The sequence below is a fragment of the Homo sapiens genome, chromosome 2 (assembly GCF_000001405.40).
Source record: "Homo sapiens chromosome 2, GRCh38.p14 Primary Assembly".
Lineage (NCBI taxonomy): Eukaryota > Metazoa > Chordata > Mammalia > Primates > Hominidae > Homo > Homo sapiens.
Genome location: NC_000002.12, coordinates 7330119 through 7353407, shown reverse-complemented (window position 1 = coordinate 7353407; position 23289 = coordinate 7330119).

The following is a 23289-nucleotide window of genomic DNA, read 5'->3' as shown; positions in this document are numbered from 1 at the left end:
TGTGTTGGCTAAATGGATATGCAAAGACACTAGCGTTGCAAAGAACACTGTGCGTAAAAAGGCAGGCACTTGTTCCGTGGTAGGCATGTAGAGTGTTCGCAGTCAAGGCTTGAAAACCAGATTGGCCTTTTATGTAGAGTTGCTAAACTTAGCAACTAAAAATAAAGATGCTGAGGTGGGTGGATCACCTGAGGTCAGGAGTTTGAGACCAGCCTGGCCAACATGGTGAAACCCCATCTCTAATAAAAATACAAAAATTAGCCAGGTGTGGTGGCAGTCACCTGTAATCCCAGCTACTCAGGAGGCTGAGGCAGGAGAATCACTTGAACCCAGGAGGCGGAAGTTGCAGACCGCACCATTGCACTCCAGACTGGGTGACAGAGTGAGACTCCATCTCAAAAAAAAAAGCCCAGTTAAAGTTGAGTTTCAGAGAAGCTGCAATATATGATGTATATATGATGCCCCATGCAATATTTGGGGCATATTAATATTCTTAAATGTTTATTTTTTTGTCTGAAATTGACATTTAACTGAGAAGCTGGAGTGGCTAAGTGTGTGTAATAGAGATGGGCACCTTATCATCAGTAGATCCGTAGTTTGGGTCATTCCTTTCTCTTTCGCAAATGGTAGGTTAGGAAAGACATGGCTGCCTCCCCTTTCTATGTTCTTAATTCGGTAGTCCACACTAGAGTCAAGTGAAGTAGAATTAATCTTGGAGACTAAGTAAGATTTTGCACAATGGAATCATAAATGCTGTACATGGAGAAAAGAGAGAAAAGAGTGGAGAAGACTTAAATTAAAAAAAAAGAAAAAAAAACCCAGCCAATATGGTCTTGGCCTTCATGAGAGATTCACACAGCTTTTGGGATATATTTCCAAAGCTGAAACTTGAAGGGAAATCACATGGATATTATGCCACCCTTCCCAGAATTTTAAGCAGAGGCCAAATGAATGTTTCCCCAGAATCCCCGATCAATTGCAACTACTGACATTCACGTCGGTCTCGTGGCACCTGCTTCCACCAAATGCTAGTGTTTAACATTTCTCACAGTGTTTCTAAACTCGAATTTGCTCACTGCTACCAGCTAGGAACAGATGCACCAGAGAGAACCTATTTGAAAGTGGGTGGCTTATTATGAACAACTTAGGGTCTATAAAAAAATCTCAACAAGAGCTGGAAGAAAAAAAATAAAAACTGCCAGAAGCTCTAAAAAATCTCTTCATAAGAAAACAGAATAGTTATCTGGAAATTCTGCAAATATGTAAAGGAACCTTGTTTTAGCAATGTTTTGCACTTTGATATAAATTCCTAAAAGTTACCTCTAACTTGAACACAGAATTGAGTTACTGCCCTGCCAGAAGGATTTCTTCTTCAGGCCACAGAAATGATCTTGTCCAAAACCCGTGAACAGAGTTGCCATATTGGGTGAACATAGACATCCTTTGCTTGCTTCCAATTTCCTAATGGCATGGCAGTATTACAGCCACTGCTACTGATTTTGTAAAATTGTTTCCCACAGTGATTCTGTATGATGAAGCTTCCAGTCTGTGTTGTCCAATGGGGCAGCCCCTAGACACAAGGGACTACTGAGCACTGAAATGTGGCTAGTTTGAATTGAGAAGTGCTGTCCATGTAAAATCCAAACCAGGATTTGAAGACATAATTGTAAAGAAACATATAAAACATCACTAATAATTTTTATATTGGCAACATGTTTAAATTTCAGATGTTTGCTTAAATAAAATACATGATTACAGTTAATTTTACATTTTTTAAGTGACTCCAATAGACTTAAAATCATACTTTTGGCTCGCCCTGTGTGATTCCCATTAAACTCCATGGCATATTTTAATCAAAGACCAGTAATCATTTAACTCTTGGAAAAAAATGCTGTGATATTCTAAATCTTCCACCTTTGATATGACTCCAGGTGTCGAAATACCTCAATGTCACAGTGATGAGAGCAGATGTGAGAAGGATTTTTGTGAGACTCTGATCAGCAAATTTATCAGACAACAAGTAAAGAAGGAATTGAGTAGACTGTTTAAATCATGCAATCATGCACTAGGCCTGGCCTTGTACTTTGATTTGTTTTATCCCAGCACAAGCTCCTTAAACATTCTCATAAACTTTATTGAACAACTGGTGGTTTTTTATGCCATGATTTTCACGTCAGTGAGGCTAGAAGACAAGGTTTCAACCTGTAATATAGCAAATTGTTAACAGTCTCTGGTCAATTTTCTGAGCCTTCTCAGAGTTCCCAGAACTGGGCACTAGTTACAGGGGAAATGGGGTCAGACTGGTGACTGACAAGGGCTTGGTGAGGAAACTGGCAGGTGTAATACAAGGTGCCAGAGGAGCAGAGAAGGAGGAGTTCCTAGCCCAGCTTGAGTGATGGTAGAGAGGACACCCGAGGACTTGAGGACTGATGTCACCTACAAGGATCTTACAGTCTCCATTGGTAAATAATTGGTAGATGTCATGTTCTATGGGTATGTTATCAGTAGCAAGCTAGATGGTATCCGGAAGCCAAAGGCATGGTGCCTCACTGGGTCTATAGCAACAAGCAGCTCAGGGTGTGGAGCACTGGAGAGGAAAGGACTCTTAAGAATCATATCATGCAATATGAAAATGCCAGTCGTTTGCCAAGCTATGCTGAAGGTGATCCTTGCCCACCTCATCATCCCCATCATTATCCTCAAACTTCAATAAAAATATGCCTTGGGTGGAGACTTTTTGGCAGCATTTTGTAGGGATTACAAAAAAAGGTCAACAGGACATTATGGTTCATCTTTGCCACATTTAGGAAGACAGCAGAGAACAGCTGAAAACCAAGACACAGGGTTGTCAATAATTAGGTGAAAGTAGCAAATCAGAAATGGAAGTACTAGGAGAAACATAAACTTTATGAGAATACAGGATGACATGGAGCTGGAGATTTGAGATAAGCCTCCTACCATTTATGAAAATAATGTCAATTTCACATGAAGCTTTAAAACAAAACTTGAGACAAAATAGAAACGTTGGGTGCAATGAAATCGCCACCTCAAGCTATGCCGGGGCCGCCCTGGGTGAGCTCTGTCTGTAGATAACTGATGTGCTCTGTGATTAAGAGCTGGGAAACACCGGATGGTGGTCTTCAGGTCTCTCTTTGTGCTGCAGTTCTGTTGGTGTTTCCAGGCAGGGCCTCTCCCCTTCTTGGGGCAAAAGGAACAAATGCCCTTGTCCCTCATCTCCCTCAGAGATCCAAACAAAATCAGGACAGGGGCTTAGGCCAAGGGAATCAGCACTTGGTGACTGAGGCAGAGGAGTGATGGAGACCTGAACCTTGCAGGGTAACCAGGAAATACCCAGAGAGATGAGGAGAATCAGGGCACGCGATGGCTCAGGATGAAGTTCTGCATCAGAAGATATACCTCAAGCTGTGCTGCTGGGTGGGCCCCTCCTATGAGCTTCCCCCAGAGGTATTCCAGAGCACAGAGACAAGAGCTGTGCTCCGTGAGGACATGAGGGTGACCCAGGCATGCATTCACCTTCCTGGAAAATTGATGGAAAAGAAAGGAAGTAGCAGATTGTGGCTCAGTCAGAAATGAGGTGAAAAGAAGAGGGACCCGGGCATTTGTCCCCTTTGGAACCCCGAGGACCCCGCATCCACTAAGCCATGTAGGGCTGGGTGTGTCTAAGAGCAGAGATGAGAAGAGTCCCACTCAGTAGCCAAGTCACATCTGTGCCACCAAATTAACAAAATATTCCCACTTAATATACAGACCGCCCCCTCCAGGCTTATCTAACAAGTCTGGATTCATGAAGTAGAACAGCAGACCCCATATTGTATTTATCCAGATATAACACAAAGGTGCATGATTCAAAGAGGCTTTGCTTTGAATTTTTGCAGTGCTCAGCTGACTGCAATTTACTCTGTAGACCACGGGGGATTCGGAGAACTCTAGTGACCATAAGTGGCTCCCTTGAGGCTGGAGCATCAGATTAGGTCAATGAAGTGGCCAGAGGAGAGGCCAGTGTGGGAATGTCAGCAGAGGCAATGATCAATGGAATTTCTGGCCGTTCCAGGGAGTTTGTACTGGGTCCTAAGGGCAGTGGGAAGCACCCCAGTGTTCTAATGGGAGAGGCGCAGGGATGGCCTCTGAAAAGAAAAGCGTGGCTGCATTTCACGGAGCTACTACTACATTCCAGGCAATTATTTCATAAAGAATATAGTGATGAGTGAACCTCAGAATCTGTCCTCTCTTGAGAGGAAAGGATAGCATGGAGCAAAAGATAAAATAAATGCAAAATAAAATTTATTAAATGCACAGGCAAAAAGTGTTCTGGGAATTCAATAGAGAAGAAATGATTTTTTAAAATGGGTAAAGAGACTAAGAAAGTGAAACAGAGAAATTTCAGACACACGTGCCTTATCTGAAAGGTGGATGGGCAAAAAGACAGAACTGGGAAGAAGCTATCCCCATTTCCGGGCTGGGGTAGCCACAACTCTAAAATAAAGCTTCAGAAATGAGTATGGTGCTGCTAATATGCTTTGAACCATAGCCTTTGAAAGTAGAATCTCTCCTTTAAAAAATTTTAATATAGTCCTCAGTTTGACCATCTTTTATACACAAGTGTCTAAGAAGAGAAAATGTGTTTGATTGAAAGTTCTGTGCTTGGTGCACACATCCCTAATATACACATCACACACAGCCATGGGCAACTGTGGGAACGCAGACCGAAACCCCCTGCTCTTGCTCCCCAGCTTCAGCATCAGCAGGAACAGCAAACCTCGCCCTCACCCTGCAACCAGTGCTGCCGTATTGCCACGGAAACCTGCGTGACATCCAAAGTCATAAAGCCAAACACAACCGTGGAGAAGTCAAACTACATCAGGAAGCAGGCTGAGTTAACCATGGAAAAGGGCACTAAGGTTAACCCAAGTGCTACTGAGGTTGCAATTTAACCCCAGGCTGGAGGAAGCAGGGTCCCAGAAAGAAGAGAAAGGTTAATGGATCCAAGTATAAATGTTACCCTTCCTCTTAACCAGCTGCCTAATTCTGCAAGTCCTGATAGGCACTGGGATGAAAATGTGGGCTCCTTGGACACGTCCTAGACATGAGGTCAGGAGACCTGGATGTGCACCCACTCTGCTACCTCCCAGGGCCACAGGCTTTCGCAGGAGGTTCATTTCTAGAAACCTCATTTTCATCTGGTAAGTGGAAGGAAGAGACCAGAGGTTACTAAATATAGTTCAAGTCCAAAAGTTGCCATATTTCCTCATTTTTGCCTCACATGTCCCGAGAGGCAGGTGCTATTCTCCCCATTTTACAGAGGAAGAAACTAAAGCTCAGAGAGCTTAAGTAACTTGCCCAAATCACGTAGGAGGTTAAATAATAATGTAGGGTGTTATCCAGGTCAGGCTGACCCCAAGGCCCTCCCTCAGCAGACAATGGTTTCCTTGGTGGCAAATGGGCTTAGCCATCCCTCTTGCCTCCTGCACAGATGTTTCTGGAGCAGAAAGAAATGAATGGATGGGATGAAGTTCTGTGAAGTACATCATGCTCTGTCCACTTCCTAGAAGAAGAGCTCTAGGAGAGTGGGGACAGGCCTGGGGTAAATAGCCCTGGGAAGTCACGGTCCATGCCACCCTGGCCCTGCCTTACATATGGGTAAGGAGGAGAAGAGAGTGAAAGGAGGTCTCGCTGAGTCTCAGCCGGATAGACTCTAGGCCCTCAACAGCTCTCCGACAGAGAGCTGGCTCTCCCACTGCAGTCAGCTTGGCTTCCAACACACTTGTCCAAGGGTAGAGAGGAGAGTTGCCAGGCCTGGGGGAGCTTCACCTCTGAAGTCTGCCCTGAGGGTCTGCTGCTGAGAGTGACTGCAGGTAGCAGCTAGGGCACTGAGTCAGCGGATGCCCTCAGGACAGCAGGTCACCTTGAATAGGCTGATCTCGCCTGCCAGGCTGCCCAGTTCCCACAGACTGGCTGAAATCTGAGCAAGCAAGGTCCAGTGGAGGCCAAATGGGAAGGGCCTCCACAGGTGGTGTTTGCTTCTGGGGAAAGTAATCTGGGGAGAAGGAACCAGTGTGCTTCAATATAAATGCACAGGCTTAGAGAGACAGGGCTTGGACCGGAACCTGCATCTGAACCCTTTAACTTAGGGAGTTGAGGCAAGTTATGATTCCCTGAGCTCACCTCCTACATCTGTGAAATGGAGATAACCCCTAGCCTGAAATATTGTTGTGATAATGGGATAAAATAGTGTGTAAAGTCCCCATCACATAAAATTTAGGATATCCTAACTGCCGTAACCGGGAAGCTGAAGACAATGATGACCACAATGATGACGACAGCCTCCCTCCATTATCGGAACCACAGGGTGCCCATCCATCTCCAGCAGACTCTGCAATTTACAGGGCTCCGCCACTGCCTTCATTTCCCTCATTTAATCTGAGCTTCACAACAAGCCCACTAGGCAGGCAATGTAAGGATTCTCCCTTTTAATGGATGAGGAAACTGTGGCTCAACAGGCTAAATGACCTTCCTAAGTGACAGAGCTGGCAGCTGCAGAAGCAAGGACTGTCACCCGGGTTGGCTGATCCTGGCCCCTCTTTCTCTAGAACCTGCAGCTGGTGCCATGGCTCCAAGACTGGGCCTCCGCGAGGAAGCAAACCCACCCTATTTCTAGGGTTGCATTTAGGTGGCGTGAATTCTGGAGTCTTTTTTGTCCTTTTCACTCAACAAGTACCAGGCTGAGTGCTTCCCCTTGAATAAATAGGAACATAAATTCCACTGCACACATTTTCTCCAAAAAAAAATAAAAAATAAAAAGACAAAGCGTGCTTAGGTTTCATTATTTTTTAGTTCCTTCTTTGGAACACTAGCTGTGATCAACTTGAGAAACTGCAATTGCCCAATTGAGGCTATCTAGGAAAATCTTCAAAATCTTTCTCACGCTTTTTCCAACGTGCTGTACAGAAATGTCCTCAGGTGCATCTGAGAGAATGTGGGAGCAAGTGCCAGGAAAACCAGGAGCTTATCTGGCCCTGCCCTTTACAGGGTGGCTTGGGAAAGTCTCTGAAACACTTGGGGCCTCAGTGTCTTCACATTTAAATGGGAAGAATGGAAAATACCCCCTGCACCCACTGGGCACACGTCACTATCAGTGTACCTGGAACTACACGAGGGCACAGAAACAACATAATGCAAGGGTTTCCTCTCATCCGGAATGCTCAGGATTTCTCCACCGAATTGCCCATAACTCCCACCTGGGCAACCTACATAAAGTTTCCACTTACATAGAATATCTCACAGGCCACTTGAATTGAATTGGCAGTGGAGTCTAGGGGTGAAGAGTCCAGATCTGGAGTCAGACTGAGCTGTACACATCCTAGCTCTACCACTTACTAACCATAAACTCTGGCTATTGTTTCATCGGTAATATACGGGTGCCAATAGCATACCAGTTCATAGGATGGCAGTAAAAATTAAACAAATGTATCGATGTGAAGCATTTAGAAGAGCCTGCGCAAATAATATCATTTCAATATTCCCTATGCTCCCTCAGAGTTGTCTATCACAGTAAATTCCTCCACCATTCATCTATCCATCCATCCTTCCTTCTATCGATCCAATTGCATAAGAAAAAGATGGGGAAGTCATCTTAGCATCTGATCCTCACCCCTGCCACATTGGGTCCTTCCAGTTCTAATCCTTTATTTATCACCACTTCCAGGACTTTACCAAAACACCATTCTCTCCTAGCAGAATTCCTGTCTCCAATCTCATTAGTATAGTCAGAATAATTTTTTAAGGTAAAAATCAGATCGTGTCATCCCCTGCCTCCCAGTGCATTTAAAATTAAACCTAAACTTTGTATAACGGCCCTGCATAATCAAACCCCTTCCTATTTCCCCAGCCTCACTTTGTATCACTCCTTCCTACACTCTCAGCTTGGGACACACTCGCCTCTTTCAATTTCCTGAATGCACATGGCTCTTTCCAATATTAGAATCCTCACAGATAACATCTGCTCTGCCTGTTATGTTCTTCCCCTTCTCCTTGTAGGCCGACTCCTCACTCTTAAGATAATAGGCTTCATATTACATCTTAAAAATGGTCTTCTCTGAAAAAAAAAATGTGATTGTCCTTTGCAGCATATATTGCCATATAAGAGTAAATATTTATATCTGTGTGGACATACACAGTATCTAGAACTGTGTCCAATATGGTGGCCACCAGGAACTTTTGGGTATTTTGTGCCTGCAATGTGGCTAGTCTGAATTGACATGTGGTAGAAGTATAAGTACACACTGAAACGTGAAGACTTCTGCTGGAGAGAAAACAATCGCATTATCAATTTTTGTACTAATTATATATTGACATAATATTTCAGATACGCTTAGTTAAAATAGATTAGTAAAATTAATTTCATCCTATGTTTTAACTGTGGTTACCAGAAAACTTACAGAACTTAAAATTGCATATTTGGGGAGCTATTGGAGATCACTGATCCAAAACATAGAGGTTTCCAGTAAGTACTTCATGGGATGAATTAAAGAATCTTCCTGGAGTATCAATAGTCCTTGAAAATGAGGAAAAATCCCTAAATAAGTAATGAGTAACAAATTTAAAACATGTTTTTATATTGAAAAAACATGAACATGTTATGAAAATAACGCCAATTTCACATGAAGCTTTAAAACAAAACTTGAGATAAAATAGAAATGTTGGGTGCAGTGAAATCGCCACTTCAAGCTATGCTGGGGCCGCCCTGGGTGAGCTCTGTCTGTAGATACTGATGTGCTCTATGAATAAAAGCTGGGAAACACTGGATGGTGGTCTTCAGGTCTCTCTTTGTGCTGCAGTTATGTTAGTGTTTCCAGGCAGGGCCTCTCCCCTTCTTGGGGCAAAAGGGACAAATGCCCGGGTCCCTCTTCTTTGCACCTCATTTCTGACTGAGCCACAACCTGCTACTTCCTTTCTTTTCCATCAATTTTCCAGGAAGGTGAATGCATGCCTGGGTCACCCTCATGTCCTCACGGAGCACAGCTCTTGTCTCTGTGCTCTGGAATACCTCTAGGGGAAGCTCATAGGAGCGGCCCACCCAGCAGCACAGCTTGAGGTATGTCTTCTGATGCAGAACATCCTGAGCCGTCCCATGCCCTGATTCTCCTCATCTCTCTGGGTATTTCCTGATTACCCTGCAAGGTTCAGGTCTCCATCACTCCTCTGTCTCATGTCACCAAATGCTGATTCTCTTGACCTAAGCCCTTGTCCTGATTTTGTTCAGGTCTCTGTTTCAGCAGTTCCCTCAGAGACCATCTTAGGGCCTCATCCCAAAGACCATGCCTCATCCCAGAGACTATGATAGCGCATGTATTTGATGCCTCCACGGCCACATTTCTGCCACCACTTAATGAACAGAACAGGAGAAAACCATCCCCTCCAAAAGATCTGCCTTCAGAAGGCAGCAACTCATAAGACCAAGCAAATGTTTCCCCAAAGGAGTGAGTGTCACTGGGCTCCTGATCACTGAAAGTTAACAAGCCCCAGTGATGAAGGGTCCCTTACTAAGAATAATGTTAAAATATTTGTATTTGTGGCCGGGCGCAGTGGCTAACACCTGTAATCCCAGTACTTTGGAAGGCTGAGGTGAGTGGATCACCTGAGGCCAGGAGCTCGAGACCAGCCTGGGCAACATGGTGAAAACCCCATCTCTACTAAAAATACAAAAATTAACTGTGTGCGGTGGCACACACCTGTAATCCCACCTACTCGGGAGGCTGAGGTGGGAGAATAGCTTGAACCCAGGAGTCAGAGGTTGCAGTGAGCCGAGATCATGCCACTGCACTCCAGCCTGGGCAACAGAGTGAGACTGTCTCAAAAAAATATATATATATTGTATTTGCATAGCACTTAAAAACAAATGCCACGTTTCCTACAAGTTTTCTTATTTGGTACTGGAATCAGTTCTAGGAAGAAGGTATTTCTATTTCCATTTTACAGTTTTGCAAACTAAGACAGGTTGCATGACCTTCTTTGGGACCCTTCACATGCTCAGTTCATCTCTGTTTACTGCACGGATGAAGGAGGTGATGAGCTGATGAATGAGTAGGGACAGATCTGCTGCATGACAGGGCCAGGGGACGTCACACTCATGCTCTTTCAGAATAGCGCAGCACTATCTTTTGAAATGGTCCTTTGACCCCTTTGGTAGGGGTGTCTGGAGGAAGGTCTTGGAGCGATGTCTGTTAAGAGTGAGTGAGTGATAGTCTAGTGGCTTTTTGTGTGGGTGTTATTTTCTTTCTTTCTTTCTTTCTTTCTTTTTTTTTTTTTTGAGATGGAGTCTCGCTCTGTTGCCCAGGCTGGAGTGCAGTGGCCTGATCTCAGCTCATTGCAACCTCTGCCTCCCAGGTTCAAGTGATTCTCCTGCCTCAGCCTCCCGAGTAGCTGGGATTACAGGTGCCCGCCACTGCGCCTGGCTAATATTTGTGTGTGTGTGTGTGTGTGTGTGTGTGTGTGTGTGTGTGTCTGTGTGTGTGTGTATTTTTAGTAGAGACAGGGTTTCACCACCTTGGCCAGGCTGGTCTCAAACTCCTGACCTCCTGATCCACCGGCCTCCTTCTCCCAGAGTGCTGGGATTACAGGCGTGAGTCACCGTGCCTGGCCTGTGTGTTATTTTCAATGTTTGTCTGGCCACTGCCATTCCTGGGGGTGCAGTATTTAAACCTGCTGTAAGTCTGCACAGAGGGTTTCTAAATCTGGCATCTTGGTGCAAAGGGAATCTGTAAGGACTGAAAAGAGATCATTGTTTAAAGCAATGTTGGAATATCTTGTCCTATAAAATCAGACAAAATATTTGTTAGCACTAAGTTTGTTACTTTGGGGAAATAAGAAAATGAAAGAGAAAAACCATCTTTGTCAAGGCAGTTTGGTTCTTAAGTGTTGCAAAAAAGTACAGAAGGACCTAAGATTCAGACAAAGTATGTGGAGGGAAAGGGAAGAAAAGAAAAATCAACTAGCATTAAGAAACCTTGCTAGACAGTGTTGTCCTTCTGTGTATGTGGTGGTAATGGTGGCGGTTGTGATGGCAGTAGCAGACAAAGGGTGATTTTTGTCCTAAGAAAAAACATTTGTTAACTTCATATCCTATGTCCAGTGGTGAGTGATTCCTAGGAAAGGTCCTTTGGCCCTACTTTAATGAATTATAATGAATGGTTGGAAATTAGTGGATCAATATTTGTATCATACTAGCAGCCTCTCAAGTATTTGAGAGCAGTCTTTTCTATATGCTACACTGAATAGCTCCTTGGCTGACATTATTAACTTTCACAGCAAATTGTCTTTTGTTTTTAATGCAAAGGTAAGCTTAGCTCAGCCTTGTTAAAATTAAATTTAATTAAGCAATAATAGTGCTCATTGTGCCTCAGGCACTAAGGAGGATACAGAGATTAATATTCCATCTTTGCCCCTTAAGGTGAAACTTCCTTTAGGGAAATTCTACATATTGATGTGTAATCAATAGGAAAATTTCAAGCTGAAGGATGATTATACTATGAAAGGATTTGTATGTGTGTGTGTTGTACTTCACAGGAGTATTCACTGTGAAGTTATTTCAAATGATGAAACACTGTTGATTATATCTTTCATAGAGACAATTTACAGTGATGTTTTCAAGAATCCAACCACTATATCACTCCACATTTAATGCCTGTTCATTAAGAAACTTTACTGTATATTCAAAAATGAAGACTCTTTTTTGTTTGGAAATAGAAAAATTGAAAATGAACACCAAATACTAGATAAAATTAGGACATTGACAATTGTTAGAAAAGGTTATCTAATTAATTTTCATTGATTGGATTATCAAAATCATCAGGAAAGCCTATGTTAAAAAACACAAAAGCAAAATTGTTAGGAAATTATCATATCTCTTAACTAGAATTCACTTGTATAACTTCAGTACAATGTGTAAATAATTAAGATACACTTCCACCAATTAAGAATAGAATGTACATTTTCATATTATGTATAATCTACATATATATTTACACATATGTAAATACGGGCCAAAAATCCATCTAGCAATGCGTATGGATCAATTCCTATATATATAACATACAGTATCATCCTGAGTGCTGCCAAAAGCAATTGAAAGTCGTGATTCTTATGTTTGTGGACCTTATGGTTAATGTGGGGAGAAGAAATGCATCACGGAGGTAGGAATGAGCTTGTCAAGCAGCAGAGCTGGGTGAACCAAGCCTGCTTGAGAGTCCTGGCTGCTGAGGGTGAGGGATCACCAGGAAACAACATTTGTACTTTATACCTCGCTAGACCCCAGGTCCCTCAGCTCACAAACCCAGGCATTACTTGTTTGTCCATTTGATTTTTTTAAATTAATCAATTAATTTATTTTTTGTTTTCAAGCCTCCAGCTTCTAGGTTTCCCATTTGCAAGACCATGCCACATACGAGTCTTAAGTTCTGGTCTCAGAAACCACTTCAATTTGGCCTTCAGCAGCCCTAGTGTATTAGTCCATCCTCACACTGCTATAAGGACATACCCAAGACTGGGTAATTTATGAAGAAAAGTGGTTTAATTGACAGTTCTGCAGGGCTGGGGAGGCCTCAAAAACTTACAATCATGGCAGAAGAAGAAGCAAACACGTCTTTCTTCACAAGATGGCAGGAGAGAGAAGAATGAGAAAGAAGGAGGGGAAAAGTCCCCCAGAAAACCACCAGATTGGCCAGGTGCAGTGGCTCACACCTGTAATCCCAGCACTTTGGGAGGCCAAGGTGGGCAAATCACCTGAGCTCAGGAGTTTGAGACTAGCCTGGGCAACATGGTGAAACCCTGTCTCTACTACAAATACAAATTAGCCAGGCATGGTGGTGGGTGCCTATAATCCCAGTTACTTGGGAGGCTAAGGCAGGAGAATCACTTGAACCCAGGAGGTGGAGGTTGCGCTAAGCCGAGATGGTGCCACTGTACTTTAGCCTGGGTAACAGGGGAAGAATCTTGTCTCAGAAAAATCATCAGATCTCGTGAGAACTCACTATCAGGAGAACAGCATGGAGTTAACCACCCCCCATGATTTGGTTACCTCCCACTGGGTCCCTCTTACGATAAGTGGGGATTATGGGAAATACAATTCAAGATGAGATTTGGATAGGGCACAGCAAAACCATATCACCTGGCAACTCCATTTTCCTGGCCACTCTACCATATGGCCAGTCTACCATAACCAGCCTTCTCTCCTACCTAAAGCTCCTCTCTCCCACCAGTGCCTCCTCCCCAGCCCACCCCAGTGAGCCAGTCTCCTGCTCGAACTCCTACACATTTCTCATTTTTGTAAGTTGCAGTATAAACCTATCAGGATCCTGTTATATTCCTCTACTTTTGCTAGAAGGGTCATTTCTCCTCCCCAAAGCTGAGGCCTACGCCAATGGTTTGGATTTATTTCTGGCTGCCTAATGTGATGTTTATACTGTTTTTTTTCTTTTATATTAAAACTTACCTTCTCAACTAGATTCTTACTACTGGCTTTTATGCATATTTAAATCTCCTCCTTTCAATCCTTCACCTCCTTCCAGCTTCCTTCCTTTCAGAGATAAACTTCTCATGACCTCTTTCCTACACACTCTGTTTGATCATCTTCTGTCACTTTTAAACCCACGTCACTGGGGCTTTTGGTGCCATCTTATTTGATCTCTAAAAATTATTTGGCTTCTTGACCCAAAGTTCTGCTGTAGGTTGAACTGTTCCCTCCTAAATAGTGCCTTAACCTCTGGTGCCTGCAAATGTGACCTTATTTGGGAATAGGGTCTTTGTAGGTGTTATCCAGTTAAGATGGAGGACATTGGATGGTACTAATCCACATGACTGGTGTCTTGATAAGAAGAGGAGAAGAACACGGAGGGAAGCCCATGCGGTGACAGAGGCAGAGACTGGAGTGATGTGTTCAAAGCACTGACGGTAACACTGGCAACTAAGAGCATAGCATGGGACAGATTCTCTCCTAGAGCCCAGGGAAAGAGCATGGCCTAGTGACACCTTGATTTTCGGTCTCTGTCCTCCAGAATCCTGAGAGAATAAAGTTCCCTTGTTTAAAGCCACTCAGCTCATGGTATTTTTTTAGAGCACCCATAGGAAATTAAAACAATGAGTAAGAGAGAAAGTTTTCTAGTATTGGGCCATGATTACTTTAGTTCATTCATTAGCACAGCCTCCTGTTGCCTAACACAATGTCTCATTTCTCAAACACCCTCAGGGAATTCGACTAATCTGGTAAAACTATTGTAACTAATCTTTTACAGAGGTGCCTATCTCATACTTTCATTTTAAAGAAAACTTCAAACCTTTGATCCAAAACAATCATCATCTATGGCAATTTCAAGCCCTCAGAACACTAGAGAAGTGTGGAATGAGGACTTCCAATCTGTGTCCTTCGTGCCTGGGGGGACCAGATGTCCTGCGAGCTCACACAAGCCTGTCAGTTTAGGCCTGCTCAGAGGCCCAGTTGGTTGCTGCCTCTTTTCACTCTACCAACTGAGCTTATTTGGATAATAAATCATGACGTTGCCCTATCCAATGTCACTCATTTAGTGACTACGTATTCTGTCTTTTGGTAGCCCTCATCTTATAGAAAAAACGCATTTTAATCAAAACAATTGAACTCATGGAAATTGAAAGTAGAAGGACGGTTGCCAGAGGCTGGGAAGGATTTTGGTTCGTGAGAAGAGGTGAGGATGGTTAATGGGTCCAAAATATATATAGAGAGAAAGAATGAATAAAGCCTACTGTTTCATAGCACAACGAGGTGACTGTAGTCAATGCTAATTTTATTGTATATTTAAAAATAACTAAGAGATTATAATTGGGTTGTTTGTAACACAAAGGATAAATGCTTGAGGGGATGAATATCCCATTCTCCATGATGTGATGATTATATATTGCATGCCTGTATCAAAACATCTCACACACCCAATAAATACATACACCTGCTATTTACCCACAAAAATTAAAAAGAAAAAAGGACAGAAAAATGTATCGCCCCGTCCGGGAGGGAGGTCGGGGGGTCAGCCCCCCGCCCGGCCAGCCGCCCCGTCCAGGAGGTGAGGGGCGCCTCTGCCTGGCCGCCCCTACTGGGAAGTGAGGAGCCCCTCTGCCAGGCCACCACCCCATCTGGGAGGTGTACCCAACAGCTCATTGGGAACGGGCCATGATGACAATGGCGGTTTTGTGGAATAGAAAGGGGGGAAAGGTGGGGAAAAGATTGAGAAATCGGAGGTTGCCGTGTCTGTGTAGAAAGAGGTAGACATGGGAGACTTTTCATTTTGTTCTGTACTAAGAAAAATTCTTATCCTGTTGATCTGTGACCTTACCCCCAACCCTGTGCTCTCTGAAACATGTGCTGTGTCCACTCAGGGTTAAATGGATTAAGGGCGGTGCAAGATGTGCTTTGTTAAACAGATGCTTGAAGGCAGCATGCTCGTTAAGAGTCATCACCACTCCCAAATCTCAAGTACCCAGGGACACAAACACTGCGGAAGGCCGCAGGGTCCTCTGCCTAGGAAAACCAGAGACCTTTGTTCACTTGTTTATCTGCTGACCTTCCCTCCACTATTGTCCTATGACCCTGCCAAATCCCCCTCTGCGAGAAACACCCAAGAATGATCAATAAAAATAAATAAATAAATTTTAAAAAAAATGTATCTTAACAGTGACCCATAAAGGGTCTACGTGGTGAGCCTTCTCTCCAGTTACTCCATAAAGACACCAATAGACCCTCAAAGTCCACACAGGTCCTCCTTGTGTAAAGACATATATTTTTTTAAAAAATTATAAATTGAGAAAATAATGTTTAAAAAAGATAATAATAGCAGAATAATAGCCGAAGAATTTTCATAGCTAGTGATCAGGGTAATATATTTTATTCTCTACAAAATGTTCATAATTTTTTTTTAATTTAACAATCCATATTAAAACATTTTCCAAGTTACTGAATATCCTTTTAGACTCACCATTTGTATGGACTTCTGTTATTCCATCGTGTGTAACACTACTTCTTGAATGATGTGTCCACATGGCTGGTGAGGCCCTCTTCCTTCCATTCAGTCCCATTCAACGCAATCCCATTCAAACCCCACCTAGTGCTTCCTGCCCCTGGACACTGATCTGCACAGTTCTTCACAGGAGCAACTGGTACCTTCCCACTGCCAAATCTAATGGGGGATTTCCATTGGCTTTCTTTTGGATTGGTTCTTCATAAGGAACCACTGAGTTCTATAAGCTCTAACTCTTCAGGATCTCCTTTTTCCTTGATTGTTCCTTACTTTCCCTGGGCCTCTCTTCACAATCCCATATTTCAAAATTATGCAACTGTCTGTTCTCCACCTCCTTTGAAAAATTTCACAGCCACTACAAACTTAATTTGTCCAGAAATGAACTCAAAATCTTACTCTCAGAGGGAAGGTGAAAAGAAGTGTGTTCATTTTTCAAACGTTTCATAGCAGGAAGTCAATAGATGCAGAAAAATAACGAAGCATGCAATTAAAAATAAACATTAATAACTTCATATTCCTAATGATCCACATATTTTTTCGAAACATTGGAGAGTTCTTGTAGAAACATAGCTCTTGTAAAGAAATGTTTATTTTAAATATTTACATTTCATTTTTCTTTAATTCTTTTGTCATTTGTTAGTTTCAGGTAATTTTTAAAAATATGATTGATTTAAAAAGTTATGTCTAATATGCTTATGTTCTCTTTCTGTAGAAAAATGCATACATACATAAATAGCTATATACATATATGACATTTATACCTTATCTATATCTGTTATGTTTGTATATACATATGTAGGTATTCAGAATGAAATACAAATTTTACTCAGAGAGAGTGTGAGTGCTTTTTAAAATTTTTTTGAACCTTTAATCTTCATGTACTTCTTTTATTTTAGTTCTTTATGTTGAATAATAACATATTTTTTAACTTAAAAAATTTCTACTGGAAAAACCAGCCTATTCCTCTGATGTTTTCTATCTCAGTAGACATGATCACCACCCCGGCCATCCAGTCTAGAAAACTAACATTTCCCTGTGACCCTCTTCACTCATATTCCTCATTCCCTATGATCACCTGCCAGGTCCTCCCAAGTTTGCCTCTGAAATCCTTCTCAAATGACTCTTCACCTCCCACTCCCCCTCTCCTCCTTCAGACTCTTCCATCTTTCCCTTGAGCCTCTGCAGGAGTCCTGTCTCTCCTGGGCTGGCTTCCTTAGATGCTTGCTTCTTCCAGAAGGATCCAGCGACTTGCCATACAGCCATGCTACTCTCTAGCTGAAAACTCTTAGAAGGCTTTCTATCATCTAGAAGACAAAGCACAATTTCTGTTTCTTGACTCAAAACACACACCCAGAATCTTCATGGCTGCTCCCTCCTCTCATATTCATCTCTCATCATGTCCAGAACTGCTTACCATCCCTACCACCACCACCGATTCCATGTCTGTTTGCTTTTTTGTTTGTTTTATCGTGTCCCAACACGTGCCTTTGCTCACGTTGTTTTCTCTCTGCCTAGATTGCTGTTTCCCCCGATTTCTTTCTTTTTTCATCTTGCTAAATCCTGCAATGTTTTTTAAACTTAGGCATGGAAGATTGCCTCAAATATTGAATGTCCAGGGTTTCCAAGACCCTCTTTGATATGCTGTAGCCACACGTTCCTGGACAGCAAGGAGAATTTATAATTTCTGTTTACATCTTCGAATCTCAGCAGAGAGGAGATGCCCAGCCAGCTCTGCTTGTGGAATGGATTCTCAATGGGCCAGGTAAGGCACCTTAGAAGCAAGGGTTTACTGGAAGGAACTGGGTTTCTACCCACCTATATTCCTTGGTTTCTTAAGACAATTTTATATCTTTAAATGTTTCTAAACATAGCTGCTTGGTTTCTTTAATTAAATTAATTCTGAAATCAGTCTTGCCCAAGAAAAGTAGAATTCAAGTCCACGGCACAAAGCAATCTTATAGTTCACCAACAGGTTGAAAAATCATATAGATTAGTCAGCCATAGAAAATCTCTTTGTTCTAAAAGATTCAATGAAAAAAAGTCAAAAACATAAATTTTAAAACTACATATTCTGCCTTTTTCTACTTAACAGTCATGTAACATAAAATTTACATGAATTTTCTGAGTTTTCCTTTCTTCCTTTTTTCTTTCCTTCCTCCCTCCCTTCCTCCCTCCCTCCTTCTCTTTCTTTCCTTCCTTCCTCCCTCCCTCCCTCCCTTTCTTCCTTCCTTTCCTTGTCTTCATTTCTCTCATAAAAGGAGACAATATCTCCTACAAAGCTTTGAGAATTCACAGAATAGAAACTGTAGAACACCATGTGGGAAACAGGAGGCACTCAACCAACACTTATTCCATGTTGTTCCTGGGACCTGCAGCTGCCGTCACTCCTGGTAGAATCATGAGTGGCTCCACCTCAGCACTGCGAACTTTTGATTAACACATACTTGGGTCTATCTTTTAAACAACTCTCTTCTTGAACAGAAGGAAGAAGTGTGTTTGATTTATTGTTAATTTTCTGTTACCTGACACTTGATAATCACTTAATAAATGTTTGTTGAAAGAAAAGGTAGGTGATAATACAGGGTTTACTAAGTGCCAGAGGATGTTCCAAAGCCATTACATTTTAACTCCTTTAATCCTTTCAACAATTCTATGAGGTAGGCACTATTCCCCTCATCAGCTATGGTTAAGAAAACTGAGGCAAAGAAAGTTTAAGTAACACCCCCAGGGCCACTCAACAAAGTGGCTATTGGGGGACCGACTGTAGAATCCAGGCTCTCAATGAAATTGAATAGTTTCTTAGTTAAAGCATTTGATTTTTAACAAAGCTGTTTAAAAATTTAACATAGAACTAAGGCTCTTTCTTATAACATTTTAATTTCTTCATTAAACCCTAGAAAATGAATTAGGCTTGAACATCATGCCATATTATTATATAGGTTAGCTTCACTGCTTAATTGAATAAAAACAATTCCAATCAAAGCATCTCACTTTCGTCTTTTCAGCTCCTGCATGTTGGTGTGTTGGTGCATGTCAGACTGCCATTCAACAAAAGGCAAGACTCTGCCTCCACTCTGGGTATTCTGGAAAATGTAAGTAATTGGATCAGACTTTCATATCACTGCCTCCTAGATGATTAGAATCTCAGTTTTCTGCAGAGTCTATCAGACGTTATGCTCCCCATATCTCCCGTCAGTACTCACTGAGTCGCGAGGGTTTGGAGATGATTTATTACATGTGACACAGGTTTCTGTTTATGCACTCATAAAGGCCATGCCTGCAAGATCTATAGAGCCAGCTTGCACCAGTACACTGAGCTGAGATGAATAAATGAATAATTGTTTTGATAATATTAACCAAGCATGTGTGATGTTTCTTTGCCACATCTGTTATTAACAACATAAACAAAAGGAGTCTTCAGTGGTTATATGTTGCTTTCAGGAACAATGTAATGTGCCCAGTTTGGTAAGCCTTTGTGGGTATTGATTAGAATAAGTCTTTTTCTGAATATCTCAGGATCAAGTGGAATGCCAGTGCGTTTAAAATATGGCTGGATAACAATAAGTTGGTGATTTTATTCAAAATGTCAACCATGTCTCTTGCCCCTTTAGATTTTAACTTAGTGCATCTCAGAGCAGGGTAAGAAAATCAGTGAATGTTTTAACAAACACCAGAGGTTATTATCATTGTCTTGGCTTAATCCCACTTTCTACTGAGCCAGCCTCTAACATATTGCTTAAAATTTTCAACAGCCTATGAGACAAGTGACTGATGAGCCTTTGACTGATCATGTCTAGTGATGAGTGACTCACTACCTTGCAAGGCAACTTTGCAGCTCTGGCAATAGGATAGTCCTTCTGGAAGGAGGACATTCTGAAATATTAAACAGCTTCCCTCTATACAGAAAACTGCCCCATTCAGAAAGCTGCTAGGGCTTGCCAGGCTTGTTCTAAATGAAAAAGTGTGACTCAGCAGAATTTGGGGAAGGGGGAATAACACTCAACGTTATCTTTCAAAAAAATAGGGTATGAGGTGAGAAAGAAAAAAGTGAGAGAATGCTTGCTGAGGAGAACATCGTTTTGTTTATACTTCTACTCCATTCTAATTCCAGTCTGAGGGTGAAGGTAAAAGGAAACCAAGATGAGCCTGAGTTTCATATTTTCCAGGACCGGCAATCAGCCTGCCCTAGGCACAGAGAGCTGTCCTGGGAAGCCCTCCATTGGAATGAGAGTGGACACAGAGCAAGTGGTATCCCCTGTGGACTGGTGACTATGTAGTCAATGGAGTTGGGATGTTAAAACTGGTCAGTGTGGCTAGGTAACGGCACTGAAGGCCAGATAACCCCATCCAAACATGCTCAGCACCTTGGAAACAGGAAAAGTCTGCACCAAATGTGGACACACCTCCTAAAAGGTGAAGTCACTGAGTAGCCTGAGAATGCATTTCCAGCACTGAGGGTGGGCAGGGGATGCTGAAATAAAAATTAAATTCTGTTATCAAAACAAAGGAAGATGGCATCTTTGCATGTCTGAGAATATAGACTACCATTTATTCCAACTACTTGTCCAGAAAGCAAAATCTATTTATCTATAGTTTTTGCCTTTTTCTATCCATTGGGCCAAAGTAAATTTTTATTTTGCATGCTTATATTTTTATTTTCAAAGTAAATTTTTCTTTTGTGTGTTTTCTCTTGGCTAACGAAAGATAGAGATTGCTAGGAACTGAATGTTTACACATTCCTCCCCGCATTCATGTATTGAAATCCTAATCCCCAAGGTGATGGATTAGGGGGTGGAGCCATTGGAAGGCGATAAGGTCATAAGGGTAGAATTCCCACAAGTGGGATCAGTGACCCCATAAAAGGACATATGAGAACTTGCTTTTTCTCTCTCTGTTCTCCTCCATGTGTGGACACAGCAAGATGACCATCTGCAATTCAGGTAGCAACCCCCCACCAGACATGGGATCTGCCAGTGGTTTGATCCTGGACTCCTAGCCTCCAGAGATGTGAGAAATAAATGTTTGTTGTTTAAGCCACCAGTCTATGGTAATGTGTTATAGCAGCCCAAACTAACTAATATGGTTTGGCTTTGTGTCCCCACCTTAATCTTAACTTGAATTGTAATTCCATAATCCCCACATGTCATGGGGAGGGACCCAGTGGGAGGTAATTGAATAATGGGAGTGTTTTTTCCCCATGCTGTTCTCGTAATAGTGAGTGAGCTCTCACGAGATCCAGTGGTTTTATGAGAGGCTTCCCCCTTCACTCAGCACTTCTTTTTCCTGCACCATGTGAAGAAGGATGTGTTTGCTTCCCATTTTGCCATGATTGTAAGTTTCCTGAGGCCTCCCCAGCCATGTGGAACTGTGAGTCAATTAAACCTCTTTTCTTTATAAGTTTACCCAGTCTCGGTTATTTCTTCATAGTAGCATGAAAATGAACTAATACTCTAATTAAAACAGATATAGTGTATTTTTATTTTCTAGAGTACAATCTCAATTCTGTCACATTGCCTCTGGGATATCTGTAATCTACTATTCTAGGTACAGTATAATTTGTACACATTTTCCATAAGATGTATAACTGAATTATTATTATCTACATCCAAAATATGGTCCAAGGTGTTATTTTTCTCCCAGTATGGTGAACGTAGCTTGGAGCAGCAGCTGCTCTAATATTAATAATAGTTTTGAAGATAATATAAAATCATAAAGTAGTCATAAAACATTATTTAAACACTATGTGAACAGCTCATTCCAGAGATCATTAATGTCTTAGTTTATTTTGTGTTTCTCTAACAATACCACAGACTGAATAATTTACAATTAACAGAAATTTATTTCATTAATGATTCAGGAGTCTGGGAAGTTCAAGATCATGGCACCAGTACTTGATGAGGGCCTTGTGTTGCATCATCCCATGGCATAAAGAGGAAAGGCAAGAGAGGGTGTGTGTGCGTGTGTGCCTGTGTGTGTGTGTGTGTGTGTGTGTGTGTGTGTGTGAAAGACAAAGAGAGATAGAGACAGAGATAGACAGAGAAGCAGACAAAGAGAGGCTGAACGCATCCTTTTATCAGGAATCTATTCCCTTGATGACTAACCCACTCTCACAATAATGGCATTAACCCATTCCTGAGGGCAGAGCCCTCATGACATAATCATCTCTTAAAGGATCCCCCTGCCAATACTGTTGCATTGGGGATTAAGCTTCCAGTGCATGAACTTTGGAAGAGACATTCAAACCATAGCAATAGGGGATGCATACAGGTCTAGATAAGGTTCTGTCTTAGAGATTTTATTGCACAAATTGTATTAATTGATCTGGTTAATCATGAAGCTTTTCTAAAAGGTGAATTTTTATTTTACTTTTTGGTTTTCCACATATTTGATAAGAATAGGTTTCTATAACAAAGACTTCCATAAAGAATAGAAAAAGTAGAAAAAGTTACTTGTCTCATGGATAGCAGTCCTGTCATTAACAGAACCAGGTGTTAAGGCAGTTTTGTTTCATATGGTACTTCATGGACCTAGATTCTTTCCAAAGCATTGCTCATTCATCTTCTTCCCTACTATCACCACACTCAGGGGTCAGCACACCAGACCCCTCATCTGGTTTCTGTAAATAAAGTTGTATTGGAATACAACTATTAATTATATAATGTCTATGACTGCTTTTGTGTACCAATGGCAGAATTGAGTACTAACACAGAAACCATATTGCCCACAAAGTCTAAAACATTTATTTTCCTTTGTATTTTATTTATTTATTTATTTTTTTATTTTGTTGAGGAAGGGTCTCACTCTGTCATACAGTGGTATGATCACAGCTCACTGTAGCCTCCACCTCCCAGACTCTGGAGATCCTCCCACCTCAGACTCCTGAGTAGCTAGGACTATAGGTGCACGCCACCATGCCTGGCTATTTTTTTTTTTTTTTTTGTATTTTTTGTACAGACTGGTGTATTAGTCCATTTTCAGGCTGCTAATAAAGACATACCCAAGACTGGAAAGAAAAATGAGGTTTAATTGGACTTACAGTTCCACATGGGTGGGGAGGCCTCAGAATCATGGCAGGAGGCAAAAGGCACTTTTTACATGGTAGTGGGAAGAGAAAAATGAGGAAGAAGCAAAAGCAGAAACCCTGATAAACCCATCAGATCTCAAGAGACTTATTCACTATCACAAGAATAGCATGGGAAAGACCGGCCTCCATGATTCAATTACCTCCCGCTGG